This window comes from Homo sapiens, chromosome 15 (assembly GCF_000001405.40).
Source record: "Homo sapiens chromosome 15, GRCh38.p14 Primary Assembly".
Taxonomy (NCBI): Eukaryota; Metazoa; Chordata; class Mammalia; order Primates; family Hominidae; genus Homo; species Homo sapiens.
In genome coordinates, this window is record NC_000015.10 from 73,440,613 (window position 1) to 73,455,617 (window position 15,005).

The 15,005-nt window shown below is 42.4% G+C and overlaps 2 protein-coding genes across 3 annotated transcripts in view; both read left to right on the forward strand.

Annotated features, from left to right (window-relative positions):
* Positions 1-379, forward strand: part of LOC124903571 (serine-aspartate repeat-containing protein I-like) — a 64,902-nt gene extending 64,523 nt beyond the window's left edge. The window contains exon 3 of the mRNA XM_047433430.1: positions 44-379. Within this exon, the coding sequence (XP_047289386.1) occupies positions 44-49 (6 nt within the window). The 3' untranslated portion in view covers positions 50-379. The remainder of the gene's footprint in view (positions 1-43) is intronic.
* A 2,172-nt stretch (positions 380-2,551) lies between these two features.
* REC114 (REC114 meiotic recombination protein) overlaps positions 2,552-15,005 on the forward strand; it is a 116,850-nt gene continuing 104,396 nt past the window's right edge. For both annotated transcript variants that reach the window (NM_001042367.2, NM_001348772.2), the window contains exon 1: positions 2,552-2,732. In NM_001042367.2, the coding sequence (NP_001035826.1) occupies positions 2,574-2,732 (159 nt within the window). In that variant the 5' untranslated portion in view covers positions 2,552-2,573. The remainder of the gene's footprint in view (positions 2,733-15,005) is intronic.

The window sequence follows — 15,005 nt, forward strand, 5'->3', positions numbered from 1 at the left end:
CTCTGTGCATTGAGCTGTGGCTTTATCCTATCTCCCTTTGCAGACATGATCTGTTCTTGGCAGATGCTGGTGGCCCCAGAAGCTCGAGCACAGGTGCACTGTCTAGGAAGGGAGCTTGCAGGTGGGAACCCAGCAGGGCCCTGGGTGTCCTTGGGCACTGACAGGGTCCCAACTGTGAGCACCATCTGCTCCTGTGAAGGGTGTCTGACAGTAGCCGCAGCCCTGGACCTGGAAGGTGAGTACCTCTGAGACCCAAAGTCAGGCTCCCATTCCCATCCTCCCTGCCTGTAGGGAGTCCACGGAAAGTCACTTTAACCCTGGAAATAGAAAGCACCAACATATGTACCACTTTGTAATTTACCAAGTGTTTTCCCACATATGTTCTTATTTTATCTTCTCCATGACCCTGTAAAGTAGTTGTCTAATAACCTTATTTTACAGAGAGGTTAACTGACTTCAACAAGCTCACGCAGCTGGCAACTGACAAACCTGGGATTCAAACCAAGTTTTTAACCATTTATTCCTATATTAAATGCAGTACTGCTGTGTCATTTATGGATCTTCAGAAGCAATTTCTGAAACCTGACCCCTTCAGTAAGCTTTACTGGACTGCTGGAAAGATAAGTAGCAGGCCCCGCTTGCCTTTTATCCAATTTATCCCATATGCTTCCGAGATATTAACCTGCCTGGACCACTACTAGGATAGTGTCATTCTCCCATGCAAATTTTTCATATTCCTCATCACCTACCAAGTAAAATTCACATTCCTTAGCTGCTGTTCAATGCTCTTTTGCCCCAACTCACCTCTGTAGCCTCATTTTCCTTAAAAAACAACTTCGCATTCTAGCTGGTCATGTCATTATCCTCATTTCCACAACTTTACTCCTCAACTTCTCCTTCGTATGGAACAACAGTTCCTTCCATCTTCCCTCGGGAAATTTTTCTCACCCTTCAAGTCCTCACTCAAATACCACTGCCACTCCCTATTGGGAAGATTTTTACTTCATTTGAACCCTGAGAGTACATGGTTTGTACCTTTCCTGTGGCATTAACTGTCAGGTGTCATGGGTATATTTGCATCTTGCTTGTTTTCCTTATTAGATCCTGTGATCCCAGAAGGTTAGATACATGCCTTATCCGTTTCTGTAGCCCCTATGGTGACTAGCATAGCTGTTTGCCCATTGTAGATATTTAATTGATACTTTGTAGAGTGAATACATTACCACCTCTCCAACCATTGTCTATGAATTGAATATCCTTTGGTATGCATAGCTTTAAACATTGTTTGCGTTTTAATTCTATTTTATGTATTTGGTTAGCATAGTCTCTACCCTCTGTATACTTTGCTTCTAACTTGACATAGATTGTATGAATATCTAAATTCTTTGCAAATGAGGTGGACACGTGGAGATTGTGGAGTCCACAGCTCTACTCTGGCTCTGCCGTTCACTGGCTGTGTAACCTTGGACAAACCACATCTACTCTCTGGATTATTTTATTTATTTTATTTTATTTTATGAGACAGAGTCTTACTCTGTAGCCCCAGCTGGAGTGCAGTGCGACAATCTCGGCTCACTGCAACCTCCGCCTCCGGGGCTCAAGCAATTCTTGTGCCTCAGCCTCCCAAGTAGCTGGGGTTACAGGAGCCTGCCACCATGCCTGGCTAATTTTTTGTATTTTAGTAGCGATGGGGTTCACCATATTGCCCAGGGTGGTCTCGAACTCCTGAGCTCAGGCGACCCGCCCACCTCGGCGTCCCAAAGTGCTGGGATTACAGGCATGAGCCACTGCGCCTGGTCACTGGACCTTATTTTGCCTCCATCTATTAGATGGGGGTAATAATCCCTGCTTTACTTCTTTAATTCACTGCAAGTTTGTTGGGAGGATAAAGGAAATAACAGATGTGTAAGTGCTTTGCCGCCTATAAATCACCCAGAAATGTCGTTTCATTGCATCTGCTGTTAAATGCAGGCACATCTTTTGCTGCTGGCAGCCCCCACCCATCTGCTCCTCTTTCGGTGAAAAATTGACTGTCGGGTGGCAGGGAATGTCGAGCGGGCGGCAGGATGGATGATGAAGAAGCAACCATGTCTCCTGAATGGCGTGTGGCACTGGGGCTTTGTTGTGGTGGGTGTTAGGTGAAGCGGGGACATTGTCTTCTGAAAGGCCGCTATGAGGAAGGGAAAAGCCTGTGTCCAGGCAGCCTCGACTACCAGCCTAGTCCCAGGGTGTACGCTACAGGGAGTCAGGCAGTTTGGGAAACTTCTCAGACTCAGAGCTTCAGAAGTTGACATGGGCTGCCTGAGGGAAGGTGTGGGCCCGAATGCTGTGCAAGTGCGACATCAACTTCCACTAATAAGGGTCACAACCGCCCTTCAACGTAGAAGCAACCATCTCGGTGCCCAAGGTCAAGAGAGACACCGAAGCCCGGAAATGCCCTAAGCGGGAATCTTCGGAGCCTGCCCATTGGCTTCTGCTGAACGGGAGGGTGGGCCCTGGGGCGCTCCGCTTACTGATTGGTTCGATGCCAGATTGGCAGGTCCCCGCCGGCAGTGCGTGTGGTGAGGCAGGACATGGCGGAGGCAGGAAAAGTGCCCTTGAGCCTCGGGCTTACCGGAGGAGAAGCGGCAGAGTGGCCTCTGCAGCGGTACGCCCGCTGCATACCCTCAAACACCAGAGACCCACCTGGGCCATGCCTGGAAGCTGGGACAGCCCCCTGCCCCACATGGAAGGTGAGGCCCGAAGGCAGGAATATCCCTGAGGTGCCCACAGCCCTCAGGAGGGGAGGCTCCGCGAATACACTGGGCCAGTGCCCCGAAAGCAATGCCGAGGGGACACCGAGTGACTGCCAGGCCTGTTGGGGAATGGACAGGCCGACAACTAAGATAGGAAATACATACATAGCAGTAGGAGACATGGTTGGAACCCTTTACAGTCTCAAAATAATTATGCAAGGGAGTAGTAAACATTCATATATTCAATGTGTATTTATTGAGCGTCAAGTATGTGCTAGACTCTATTCAGGGTGCTAGGGATGGAGCAGTGAGCAAGATATAAACGCTCCCCACCCTTATTGATGTTTTTAGTTTAGTGGAGGATATACTATTTATCCAAATAACTAATTACAGAAGGGACAACTGAGTCATCCCGTAACCAAGCATTCACACAGGACTAAATTTGAATCCTCGCGTTGCCAGTGAATTTCTGGGACCTTGCTTTAGTTACTTAACCTCTCTGTACCTTATTTACTTTGTCTTAAAATAGAGATAATAATATAATAGTACAGGCCCTCAGAAATATTGGGATTCGGTTCCAGACCATCACAATAAAGCAAGTTACGACCTTTTTGGCTTCTCAGTGCATATAAAACCTGTGTTTGCACTGTACTGTAGTCTATTAACTTGTCTAAAACAATTATGTCTAAAAGAACAACGTACCCACCTTGATTCGAGAATACTTTATTGCTAAAAAATGCTAACACTCACCTGAGCCTTCAGCAGGTCAGTCTTTTTGCTGCTGGAGGGTCTTGCTTCATGCTGGTGGCTGCTGACTGATCAGAGTGGTGGTTTCCCAAGATTGGGGTTGCTGTGGCAATTTCTTAAAATAAGACAACAATGCAGTTTGTCACATGGATTGCCTCTAACTTTCAGGAAAGATTGCTCTGTAGCATGCAATGCTGTTTAATGGCATTTTTACCCACAGTAGAACTCCTTTCAAAATTGGAGTTAATCCTCTCACATTTTGCTGCTGCTTTATCAACTAAGTTTATGTGATATTCTAAATACTTTGCTGTCATTTCAGCAATGTTCACGGCATCTTCACCAGGAGTAGATGCCATCTTAGGAAACCACTTTCTTTGCTCATCCATAAAAAGCAACTCGTCATCTCTTCAAGTTTTATCGTAAAATTATAGCAATTCAGTCCCATCTTCAGGCTTCACTTCCAATTCTAGTTCTCTTGCTCTTTCAACACATCTGCAGTCCCTTCCTCCATTGAAATCTTGAACTCCTCAAAAGTCATCCGTGAGGGTTGGAATCAACTTCTTCCAAATTCCTGTTAATGTTGATATGTTGACCTCCGTCCATGAATCACAAATGTTCTTAATGGTATCTAGAATGGTGAATCCTTTTCAGATGTTTTCTATTAACTGCCCAGATCCATCAGAGGAATCACTATCTACAGAAGCTATAGCCTTATAAAATATATTTCTTAAATAATAAGACTTGAAAGCAGACAATTACTCCTTGATCATGGGCTGCAGAATGAATGTTGTGTTAGCAGGCATGCAAACAACATTCATCTCTTTGTACATCTCTAACCAAGCTCTTGGGTGACCAGGTGCCTTGTCAATGAACAATAATATTTTGACAAGAATCTTTTTTTCTGAGGAGTTGGTCTCAACAGTGGGCTTAAAATATTCAGTAAACCATGCTATAAACAAATGTGCTATCATCCAGGCTTTGTTGTTCTATTTATAGAGCACAGGCAGAGTAGATTTAGTACAGTTCCTAAGGGCCCTAGGACTTTCAGAATGGTAAATGAGCATTGGCTTCAATTTAGAGTCACCAGTGGGATTAGCCCCTAATGCAAGAGTCAGCCTGCCCTTTGAAGCTTTGAAGCCAGGCATTGACTTCTCCTCTTTAGCTATGAACGTCCTAGATGGCCTCTTCTTCTAAGAAAAGGCTGTTTTGAATACGTTAAAAAATCAGATCAGACTTTGGCTTAAGGGAATGTTGTGACTGGTTTGATCTTCTATGCAGACCATTACAACTTTTTCCATTTCAGCAATAAGGCTATTCCACTTATCATTCCTGTGTTCACTGGAATAGCATTTTTAATTTCCTTTAAGAACTTTTCCTTTGCATTTACAACCTGGCTAACTGGCATAAGAGGTCTAGCTTTTGACCTATTTTGGCTTTCAACATGCCTTCCTCACTAAGCTTAATCATTTCTAGCTTTTCATTTAAAATGAGAGATATGTGATTTTTCCTTTCACCTTAACACTTTGAGGCCATTGTAGGGTTATTAGTTGGCTGGATTTCAATATTGTTGTGTCTCAGAATAGTGAGGACTGAGGAGAGGGAGAGAGACAGAGCAAAGGCTGGTGGATGGAGCAGTTGGAATATACATACCATTTATTAAGTTCACTGTCTTCTATGGGCATGGTTTGTGGCACTCCAGAACAATTACAATAGTAACATCAGAGATCACTGATCACAGATCACCATCATATATAATAATAATAATAATGAAAAAGCTTGAAATATTGTGAAAATTACCAAAATGTGATACAGAGACATGAAGTGAACACATGCTATTAGAAAAATGGCACTGAGAGACTTGATTGATGTGGGGTTGCCACAAACCTTCAATGTGTAAAAAATGTAATATCTGTGAAGTGCAATAAAGCAAAGTGCAGTAAAGGGAAGTGTGCCTGTACCTACTTCATAGGATTATTTTGACCATTGCATAAGCTAATACATGTCAATCACCTAAAATAGTGCCTAGTATATATTAAGTTAGGGGTTTGCTCTTATTATCATTTTGTTCTAGTGGTATGCTTTAACACCATGGGTTGCCAGTCATTCAGTTCCCTTTTGTCTGGTTTGACTATTGGATGAGGAACCTGGGATTTTGGATTATACACATACATGTACGTCACATGTGTGCACACATGCATACATGTTTGTGTATTTTGGGCAGCAGTAGATAGGAGAAGAATTAAAGAGAATAAAGGTCCCAGGTAGCTGGGTGTGGTGGCTCATGCCTGTAATCCCAGCACTTTGGGAGGCTGAGGCAGGCGGATCACCTGAGGTCAGGAGTTTGAGACCAGCCTGGCCAACATGGCAAAACCCCGTCTCTACAAAAAATGCAAAAATTAGCCGGGTGTAGTGGTGCCTGCCTGCAGTCCCAGCTACTCAGGAGGCTGAGGTGGGAGAATCACTTGAACCTGGGAGGCTGAGGTTGCAGTGAGCTGAGATCGTGGCACTGCACTCCAACCTGAGTGACAGAGCAAGACTCTGTCTCAAAAAAAAAAAAAATTCCCACAACATGTACAGAGGCCACAACATACCTGAAAAAACCTCAGCATGTAATGTATAGTGAGAAGGCTAGCAAATCTGGTGCTTAGAGAATAAGGGAAATGGTAGCTTGAGATAAGCCTGTCTGAAGATGTAGGCAGGTGCCTTGTGAACATTATTATAAATCCAGTGGGAAGCCACCGAACAGTTTTAAGCAGAGGCATTTTCATCTTTGAAAGATCACTCTGGCTGTGGTGTGAAGATGGAATTGGAGGGGAATATGAGTGGATTCAGAAAGATCATTTAGAATGCTATTGCAGTGTTATAGGCAAGAGATGATGATGGCTTAGACTCAGGGCATGGCAGTAGAGATAGGGATATTGGGAATATATTTTGGAGACCAAAATGAAAAGGCTTGGTGATTGATTGTATATGGGTGGTGAGAGTAAAGGACTTCTGGGTTTCTAGCAGAAGCAACTGAGTAGATGGTTGAAGAATGGGAAACACTGGAGGAGGAACAGTGAGGGAAAAATCCAAGATGTCAGTTTTGGATGTATTGAATTTCATAAGATTGTGAAGCATCCAAGTGGAGATACTGAATAGGTGGTTGGGTATATTGGTCTAGACTCAGAAGGAAGATCTGGGCTAGAGATGTAAAGGTGTGAGTCATCAGCATAAAGGTGATATTTATAGTCATGGGATTAGGTGAGATTCGGGACCAAGCTTAAACGTAATCCAACATTTGTAAGTTGGGTAGAGGGGACAGAGCCCCAAAGAAGACTGATAAGAGGCCTGGCACAGTGGCTTATCCCTGTAATCCCAGCACTTTGGGAGGCCAAGATGGGTGGATCACTTGAGGTCAGAAGTTCAGACCAGACTGGCCAACATGGTGAAACCCGAGGCTACTTGGGAGGCTGAGGCAGGAGAATCCCTTGAGCCTAGGAGACAGAGGTTGCAGTGAGCCAAGATTGTGCCACTGCACTCCAGCCTGGGCAACAGAGTGAGACTCTGTCTCAAAATAAATAAATAAATAAATAAATAAATAAATAAATAAATAGGAAAATACAACAAGATAGCCGAATAGGAACAGCTCCGATCTGCAGCTCCCAGCAAGATCAACACAGAAGGCGGGTGATTTCTGCATTTCCAACTGAGGTACCTGGTTCATCTCATTGGGACTGGTTGGACAGTGGGTGCAGGCCATGGGGGGTGAGCCGAAGCAGGGTGGGGCATCACCTCACCTGGGAAGTACAAGGGTTGGGGAATCTCCCTCCCCCAGCCAAGGGAAGCCGTGAGAGACTGTACTGGGAGGAATGGTGCACAGATACTGTGCTTTTCCCATGGTCTTTGCAATCAGCAGGCCAGGAGATTCCCTCTGGTGCCTACACCACCGAGGGCCCTGGGTTTCAAGCACAAAACTGGGTGGCCATTTGGGCAGACACTGAGCTAGCTGCAGGAGTTTGTTTGTTTTTTTTTTTTCACACGCCAGTGGCTACTGGAAAGCCAGTGAGACAGAACTGTTCACTCCCCTGAAAAGGGGGCTGAAGCCAGGGAGCCAAGTGGTCTGGCTCAGCGGGTCCCACCCCAACAGAGCCCAGCAACCTAAGATCCACTGGCTTGCAATTCTCACTGCTAGCACAGCAGTCTGAGGTTGACCTGGGATGCTGTATCTTGGTGGGGGGAAGGGCATCCGCCATTGCTGAGGCTTGAGTAGGTGGTTTTACCCTTACAGTGTAAACAAAGCCACCAGGAAGTTTGAACTGGGTGGAGCCCAAGACAGCTCAGCAAGGCTGCTGCAGCCACACTGCCTCTCTAGATTCCTCCTCTCTGGGCAGGGCATCTCTGAAAAAAAGGCAGCAGCCCAGTCAGGGACTTATAGATAAAACCCGCATCTCCCTGGGACAGAGCACCTGGAGGAAGGGGTGGCTGTGGGCACAGCTTCAGCAGACTTAAATGTCCCTGCCTGACAGCTCTGAAGAGAGCAGTGGATCTCCCAGCATAGTGTTCGAACTCTGATAAGGAACAGACTGCCTCCTAAAGTGGGTCCCTGACCTTTGTGTCTCCTGACTGGGAGACACCTCCCAGTAGGGGCCGACAGACACCTCATATAGGAGAGCTCTGGCTGGCATCTGGGGGGTGCCCCTCTGGGACAAAGCTTCCAGAGTAAGGAACAGGCAGCAGCCTGTTCTGCAGCCTCCGCTGGTGATACCCAGGCAAACAGGGTCTGGAGTGGACCTCCAGCAAATTCCAGCAGACCTGCAGAAGAGGGGCCTGACTGTTAGAAGGAAAACAAACAAACAGAAAGGAATAGTATCAACATCAACAAAAAGGATGTCTACTCAGAGACCCCACCCAAAGGTCACCAACATCAAAGACCGAAGATAGATAAATCCACGAAGATGAGGAGAAACCAGTGCAAAAAGGCTGAAAATTCCAAAAACCAGAAAACCTCTTCACCTCCAAAAGATCACAACGCCTCGCCAGCAAGGGAACAAAACTGGATGGACAATGAGTTTGATGAACTGACAGAAGCAGGCTTCAGAAGGTGGGTAATAACAAACTCCTCTGAGCTAAAGGAGCATGTTCTAACCCAATGCAAGGAAGCTAAGAACTTTGAAAAAAGGTTAGATGAATTGCTAACTAGAATAACCTGTTTAGAAAAGAACAGAAATGACCTGATGGAGCTGAAAAACACAGCACGAGAACTTCATGAAGCATACACAAGTATCAGTAGCTGAATTGATCAAGCAGAAGAAAGGATGTCAGAGACTGAAGATCAACTCAAAGAAATAAAGCAAGAAGACAAGGTTAGAGAAAAGAGTGAAAAGAAACGAACAAAGCCTCCAAGAAATATGGGACTATGTGAAAAGACCAAATCTATGTATGATTGGTGTACCTGAAAGTGATGGGGAGAATGGAACCAAGTTGGAAAACACTCTTCAGGATATTATCCAGGAGAACTTCCCCAATCTAGCAAGGCCGGCCAACATTCAAATTCAGGAAATACAGAGAACACCAGAAAGATACTCCTCGAGAAGGGCAACCCTAAGACATATAATCGTCAGATACACACCAAGGTTGAAATGAAGGAAAAAATGTTAAGGGCAGCCAGAGAGAAAGGTTGGGTAACCCACAAAGTGAAGCCCATCAGACTAATAGCAGATCTTTCGGCAGAACCCCTACAATCCAGAAGAAAGTGAGGGCCAGTATTCAATATTCTTAAAGAGAAGAATTTTCAATCCAGAATTTCATATCCAGCCAAACTAAGCTTCATAAGCAAAGGAGAAATAAAATCCTTTACAGACAAGCAAATGCTGAGAGATCTTGTCACCACCAGGCCTGCCTTACAAGAGCTCCTGAAGGAAGCACTAAACATGAACCAGTACCAGCCACTGCAAAAACATACCAAATTGTAAAGACCATCGATGCTATGAAGAAACTGCATCAACTAACTGGCAAAATAACCAGCTAACATCATAACGACAGGATCAAATTCATGCAACAATATGAACCTTAAATGTAAATGGGCTAAATGCCCCAATTAAAAGACACAGACTGGCAAATTGGATAAAGAGTCAAGACCCATCAGTGTGCTGTATTCAGGAGACCCATCTCACGTGCAAAGATACACATAGGCTCAAAATAAAGGGATGGAGGAATATTTACCAAGCAAATGGAAAGAAAAAAAAAAGCAGGAGTTGCAATCCTAGTTTCTGATAAAACAGACTTTAAACCAGCAAAGATAAAAAGAGACAAGAGCGTTACATAATGGTAAAGGGATCAATGCAACAAGAAGAGCTAACTATCCTAAATATATATGCACCCAATACAGGAGCACCCAGATTCATAAAGCAAGTTCTTAGCGACCTACAAAGAGACTTAGACTTCCACACAATAATAGTGGGAGACTTTAACACCCCACTGTCAATATTAGACAGATCAATGAGACGGAAAATTAACAAGGATATCCAGGACTTGAACTCAGCTCTGGACCAAGTGAACCTAATAGACATCTACAGAACTCTCCACCCCAAATCGAGAGAATATACATTCTTCTCAGCACCACATCACACTTATTCTAAAATTGACCACATAATTGGAAGTAAAACACTTCTTAGCGAATGCAAAAGAACGGAAATCATAACAAACAATCTCTCAGTCCACAGTGCAATAAAATTAGAACTCAGGATTAAGACACTCACTCAAAACCGCACAACTACATGGAAACTGAACAACCTGCTCTTGAATGACTACTGGGTAAATAAAGAAATGAAGGCAGAAATAAAGATGTTCTTTGAAAGCAATGAAAACAAAGACAAAACATACCAGAATCTCTGGGACACCTTTAAAGCAGTGTGTAGAGGGAAATTTATAGTACTAAATGCCCACAAGAGAAAGCAGGAAAGACCTAAGGTTGGCACCCTAACATCACAATTAAAAGAACTAGAGAAGCAAGAGCAAACAAATTCAAAAGCTAGCAGAAGACAAGAAGTAACTAAGATCAGAGCAGAACTGAAGGAGACAGACACTTGAAAAACCCTTCAAAAGTCAGTGAATCTGGGAGCTGGTTTTTTGAAAAGATCAACAAAATAGGCTGCTAGCCAGACTAATAAAAAAGCAAAAGGAGTAGAATTAAATAGATGCAATAAAAAATGATAAAGGGGCTGTCATCACTGATCCCTCAGAAATGCAAACTGCCATCAGAGAATACTATAAACACCTCTACACAAATAAACTAGAAAATCTAGAAGAAATGGATAAATTCCTCAAGACATACACCCTCCCAAGACTAAACCAGGAAGAAGTTGAATCCCTGAATAGACCAATAATAAGTTCTGAAATTGAGGCAGTAATGAATAGCCTACCAACTAAAAAAAGTCCAGAACCAGATGGATTCACAGCTGAATTATACTAGAGGTACAAAGAGGAGCTGGTACCATTCCTTGTGAAACTATTCTAAACAATATAAAAAGAGGGAATCCTCCCTAACTCATTTGACAAGGCCAGCATCATCCTGATATCAAAACCTGGCAGAGACACAACAAAAAAAACGAAAATTTCAGGCCAATATCCCTGATGAACATTGATGCGAAAATCCTCCATAAAATGCTGGCAAACCAAATTCAGCAGCACATCAAAAAGCTTATCCACCACGATCAAGTCAGCTTCATCCCTGGCATGCAAGGCTGGTTCAATGTACACAAATCAATAAATGTAATCCATCACATAAACAGAACCAATGACAAAAACCACATGATTATCTCAATAGATGCAGAAAAGGCCTTTGACAAAATTCAACAGCACTTCATGCTAAAAACTCTTAATAAACTAGGTATTGATAGACTGTATCTCCAAATAATAAGGGCTATTTATGATAAACCCACAGCCAATATCATACTGAATGGGCAAAAACTGGAAGCGTTCCCTTTGATAACTGGTACAAGACAAGGATGCCCTCTCTCACCACCCCTATTCACCATAGTATTGGAAGTTCTGGCCAGGGCAATCGGGCAAGAGAAAGAAATAAAGGGTATTCAGATAGGAAAAGAGGAAGTCAAAATGTCTCTGTTTGCAGATGACATGGTTGTATATTTAGAAAACCCAATCGTCTCAGCCCAAAATCTCCTTAAGCTGATAAGCAACTTCAGCAAAGTCTCAGGATATAAAATCAGTGTGCAAAAATCACAAGCATTCCTATACACCAATAACAGACAAACAGAGAGCCAAATCATGAGTGAACTCCCATTCAGAATTGCTACAAAGAGAATAAAATACCTAGGAATCCAACTTACAAGGGATGTGAAGGACCTCTTCAAGGAGAACTACAAACCACGGCTCAAGGCAATAAGAGAGGACAAAAACAAATGGGAAAACATTCCATGCTCATGGATAGGCAGAATCAATATCATGAAAATGGCCATTCTGCCCCAAGTAATTTACAGATTCAATGCTATCCCCATCAAGCTACCATGACTTTCTTCACAGAATTGGAAAAAACTACTTTAAATTTCATGTGGAACCAAAAAAGAGCCTGCATAGCCAAGACAATCCTAAGCAAAAAGAACAAAGCTGGAGGCATCAGCTACCTGACTTCAAACTATACTACAAGTCTACAGTAACCAAAACAGCATGGTACTGGTACCAAAACAGATATATAGACCAATGGAACAGAACAGAGGCCTCAGAAATAACACCACACATCTACAACCATCTGATCTTTGACAAACCTGACAAAAACAAGCAATGGGAAAAGGATTCCCTATTTAATAAATGGTGTTGGGAAAACTGGCTAGCCATATGCAGAAAGCTGAAACTGGATCCCTTCCTTACATCTTATACAAAAATCAACTCAAGATGGATTAAAGACTTAAATATAAGACCTAAAACGATGAAAACCCTAGAAGAAGACCTAGGCAATACCATTCAGGACATAGGCATGGGCAAAGACTTCATGACTAAAACACCAAAAGCAATGGCAACAAAAGCCAAAATTGACAAATGGGATCTAATTAAACTAAAGAGCTTCTGCACAGCAAAAGAAACTATCATCAGAGTGAACAGGCAATCTACAGTATGGGAGAAAACTTTTGCAATCTATCCAGCTGACAGAGGGCTAATATCCAGAATCTACAAAGAATTTAAACAAATTTACAAGAAAAAGTCAACCCCATCAAAAAGTGGGCGAAGGATATGTACAAAAGAAGACATTTATGCAGCCAACAAATATATGTAAAAAAGCTCGTCATCACTGGTCATTAGAGCAATGCAAATGAAAACCACAATGAGATACCATCTCATGCCTGTTAGAATGATGATCATTAAAAAGTCAGGAAACAACAGGTGCTGGAGAGGATGTGGAGAAATAGGAACGCTTTTATACTGTTTGTAAGAGTGTAAATTAGTTCAACCATTGTGGAAGACAGTGTGGCAATTCCTCAAGGATCTAGAACTAGAAATACCATTTGACCCAGCAATCCCATTGCTGGGTATATACCCAAAGGATTATAAATCATTCTGCTATAAAGACACATGCACATGTATGTTTATTGCAGCACTGTTCACAATAGCAAAGACTTGGAACCAACCCAAATGCCCATCAATGATAGACTGGATAAAGAAAATGTGGCACATATACATCATGGAATACTATGCAGCCATAAAAAAGGATGAGTTCATGTCCTTTGCAGGGACATGGATGAAGCTGGAAACCATCATTCTCAGCAAACTAACACAAGAACAGAAAACCAAACACTGCATGTTCTCACTAATAAGTGGGAATTGAACAATGAGAACACATGGACATGGGTGGGGGGCATCACACACCGGGGTCTGTAGGGGAGTGGGGGGCTGGGGGAGGGATAGCATTAGGATAAATACCTAATGTAGACCACAGGTTAATGGGTGCAGCAAACCACCATAGCACGTGTATACCTATGTAACAAACCTGCACATTCTGCACATGTACCCCAGAACTTAAAGTATAATAAAGAAAACACAAACAAAAATAAATTAAATAAATAAATAAATAAAAGATTGACAAGGGACAGAGAGTTGAGAAGCACCCAAGAGAATGGAGGTTTATCAGTGCTAAAGAGAGTTATTTCCAGGGGAAAGAGTGATTGATTAACTTTGTTGAATGATGCTGCAAAATGAAGAAACATGATGACTAAGGGATATCTATTCCATTCAGCAGTGTGAACGTCCTTAATGGTCTTTACCAAGAGAAATTTAAGTGGAGTGAAGGGAGTGGAAGCCAGATAGGAGTAGGGTAAAGAATGGCTGATGGGTGAGGAAGTGTAGCCAATGTGCACAGACAGTTCTTCTGAGAGGCTTGGCTGTGAGTATGATTAGAGAAAGGGCACAATGAATTATTCACCACATTCTAGAATATTAGAGCCAGGGGCACTCCTTCAAGATTGAAATCAGTATATCTAGGACCATAAAAAAGACATTAAATTCCTAGTTGTACTGTTCTGAAACCCTGTATCCTGAGAAATGATATAGGCTGAAATACAAAATGAGGTGAAGAAGAGTTAAATATAAGGATGACTGACCTATAATTGGATCTTATAAAAAGCTGGGAATGTTTGGTGACATATTTAATTTTTGAGACTGCTCCACAGGTTCCTTGATACCTTCTCATAAAACACTTTAAACCCTTTCTCCTAAAGCATCTGTGTTGGGTGCAGCTGAATAATTCTTAAATTCTTATCCTGCAACCCAGAGGCCAGGACATTTGACCATTCTAAGGAGTTGATTGTTATTACAATTTTTTTACTTCTCTTTGCAAAGCTCTTCATAATTGCTTATAAGGAACAGTGCTTTTAACAGTTTTCAAATGTTTGGCATAAAGCCACAGCTACAGTGACAAGAGATGAGGTTGGCTTTTGCAGTGGTTTTGAAAACTGAACATTTGTACCTTCCTTTGAATCTGTGCCGAACCATCCTACCCGCTGTGATCAGTTTCAGCCTAGGTCTGTCATTTTTTTTTTGGAAAAAACGAAAGAGAAAACAAGATTTGTTCTATTTTATGGGCACTGGGACTATTGTGCAGTAATAATAATAAAAGATGAGCCATCTAAAGAACTGTACTCTCTAAGTCTCATGTGAATTTTTTATTTTAAAAATATGTGGTACCTGCAGTAAAAAAAGAGGTTAGGTAAAGCATAAAAATATATTATTGTGGAGGATAGAGTCATTCTAGTTGTTTTTTCTTTAGGGAACTTTCAGATTCAATCTTGGTTGAACCTATTTTGAGTTCTTTGATTTTTTCTGATTATAGGAGAATCTGTTCTCCTGGTACTGTTCTCTATAGCTGTTTAATTACAGAGAAAACTTTCATCACAATGGCTCTATATGCTGAGACAAAAATGTCAACTCAAGAGAAAAAATGAATAGTACAACAAGACTCCTAAGACTCGAAGTCCTAGTTGAGAGGGAAGATCAATTCTGAGACAGAAAGAATGTTATGTATAAAATATCTAA